At 44.0% G+C, this 2,836-nt stretch overlaps 1 annotated feature.

Annotated features, from left to right (window-relative positions):
- Positions 1,593–2,094: an enhancer, noted in NCBI's record as "H3K27ac hESC enhancer chr4:138272073-138272574 (GRCh37/hg19 assembly coordinates)". NCBI's record gives its function as "activates a minimal SCP1, AML or CMV promoter by ChIP-STARR-seq in naive H9 embryonic stem cells {active_cell/tissue: H9 hESC(naive)}" and the evidence as "EXISTENCE:reporter gene assay evidence [ECO:0000049][PMID:30033119]".

Genomic DNA, 2,836 nt, shown 5'->3' on the forward strand with positions numbered 1-2,836 from the left:
AGTCTTTCCAATAAAGTATGCTGGGGAAACTGGATATCCATATGCAACATAATAAAACTAGACTCCTATCTCTCAATAGATACAAAAACCAAATCAAAACAGATTAAAGACCTAAATGTAAGACCTGAAGCTATAAAACTTCTGGAAGATAGCATTGGGGAAATGCTTTAGGACATTGGCCTGGGAAAAAAATTAGGGATTATGACCTCAAAAGCACAGGCAACAAAATCAAAACTAGACAGATGAGATTACATTAAGCTAAAAAACAACTTCTGCACAGAAAAGGAAAGAATGTGCAGAGTGAAAGGATAACCTATAAAATGGGGCAAAATATTTTCAAATTGTCCATCTGACACAGATTAATAACCAGAATATAAAAGGAACTCAACTCAAGAGCAGATAATATAATAATAATCTGATTTTTTCTAACAATCTGGATAGATATTTCTCAAAAGGAGACATATGAATGACCTATGGGTATATGAAAAATGCTCAACATCACAAATCATTAGAAAAATGAAAATTAAAATCACAATGAGAATCACCTCACAATCTGTTAGCATGGCTATATAAAAAAGACTAAAGAGGCTGGGCAGGCATGGTGGCTCTCGTCTGTAATCCCAGCATGCTAGGACGCTGGAAGCGGTGGGGGGAACACCTGAGGTCAGGAGTTCGAGACCAGCCTGGCTAACATGGTGAAACCCCATTTCTACTAAAAATACAAAAAATTAGCCAGAAGTGGAGGTGTGCACCTGTAATCTCAGCTACTCAGAAGGTTGAGGCAGGAGAATCGCTTGAACTAGCAGGCAGAAGTTGCAGTGAGCTAAGATAGTGCCATTGCACTCCAGCTTGGGCAACAAGAGCGAAACTCCATTTAGAAAAAAAAAAAAAGACTAAAGATAACAAGTGTAGTCACGGATGTAGAGAAAAAGGAACACTTTTACACTATTTATTGGAATGTCAATTAGTACAACCATTATGGAAAACACTATGGAGGTTCCTCAAAAAACTAAAAATAGAATTACCATATGATCCAGCAATACCACTTCTGGTTTTTACCCAAATGATTTGAAATCAGTTTCTCAAAGATATGTCTGTAGTCACATGTTCTTTCGAGCACTATTCACAATAATTAGTAAATGGAATCTACCAGAGTGGATGTCAACAAATGAATGGATAAAGAAAATGCAGTGTATGTGCACAATGGAATAGTATTCGGCTATAAATACAAAAAATAAAATAAAATTCGCAGATCTGGCAAGATGGCCAAATAGGAACACTTCTGGTCTGCAGCTCCAAGTGAGACCAATGCAGAAGGTGGGTGATTTCTGCATTTCCAACTGAGATACCCAGTTTATGTCACTGGGACTGGTTAGACAGTGTGTGCAGCCCACGGAGGGCAAGCAGAAGCAGGGTGGGGTGTTGCCTCACCCAGGAAGTGCAAGGGGCCAGGGACCTCCCTCCCTTAGCCAAGGGAAGCCATGAGGGACTGTGCTATCTGACTCAGATACTATACTTTTCCCACAGTTTTTGCAACCTGTAGACCAGAAGATTTCCTTGTGTGCTGTACCACCACAGCCCTGGGTTTCAAGCACAAGACTGGACGGCTGTTTGGGCAGACACAGAGCTGACTGCAGGAGTTTGTTTTTTTTTTTTTTTTTTTTTCATACCCTAGTGGTGCCTGGAACCCCAGCAAGACAGAACCATTCATTCCCCTGGAAAGGGGGCTGAAGCCAGGGAGCCACGGGGTCTTGTTCAGTGAGTCCTACACCCACAGAGCCCAGCAAGCTAAGATCCACTGGCTTGAAATTCTTGCTGCCAGCACAGCAGTCTGAAGTTGACGTGGGACACTGGAGCTTGGCGCAGGGAGGGGTGTCCAACATTACTGAGGCTTGAGTAGGCAGTTTTCCCCTCACAGTGTAAACAAAGCCCCTGGGAAGTTTGGACTGGGTGGAGCCCACTGCAGCATGGCAAAGCCGCTGTAGTCAGGCTGCCTCTCTAGATTCCTCCTCTCTGGGCAGGGTATCTCTAAAAGAAAGGCAGCAGCACCAGCCAGGGGCTTATAGATAAAACTCTCATCTCCCTGGGACAGAGCACCTGGGGGAAAGAATGGCTGTTGGTGCAGCTTCAGCAGACTTAAACGTTCCTGCCTGCTGGCTCTGAAGAGAGTAGCAGATCTCCCAGCACAGAGCTCAAGCTCTGCCAAGGGACAGACTGCCACCTCAAGTGGCTCCATGATCCCAGTGCCTCCTGACTGGGAGATACCTCCCAACAGAGGTCGACAGACATCTCATACAGGAGAGCTCTAGCTAGCATCAGGGTGGTGCCCCTCTGGGATGAAGCTTCCAGAGGAAGGAGCAGGCAGCAATACTTGCTGTTCTGCAGCCTCTGCTGGTAATGCCCAGGCAAAAAGAGTCTGGAGTGGACCTCCGGCAAACTCCTGCAGACTTTCAGAAAAGAGGCCTAACTGTTAGAAGGAAAACTAACAAACAGAAAGCAATAACATCAACGTCAACAAAAAGGATGCCCACGCAAAAACCCCATCCAAAGGTCATCAGCGTCAAAGATCAAAAGTAGATAAATCCATGAAGATGAGGCAAAACCAGTGCAGAAATGCTGAAAAATCCAAAACCTAGAATACCTCTTCTCCTCCAAAGGATCACAACTCTTTGCCAGCAAGGGCACAAAACTGGACAGAGAATGAGTTTGATGAATTGACAGAAGAAGGTGGGTAATAACAAACTACTACAAGCCAAAGAGCATGTTCTAACCCAATGCAAGGAAGCTAAGAACCTGATAAAAGGTTACAGGAACTGCTAACTAGAATAACCAATTT

Source organism: Homo sapiens, chromosome 4 (assembly GCF_000001405.40).
Source record: "Homo sapiens chromosome 4, GRCh38.p14 Primary Assembly".
In the NCBI taxonomy this organism is placed as follows: Eukaryota; Metazoa; Chordata; class Mammalia; order Primates; family Hominidae; genus Homo; species Homo sapiens.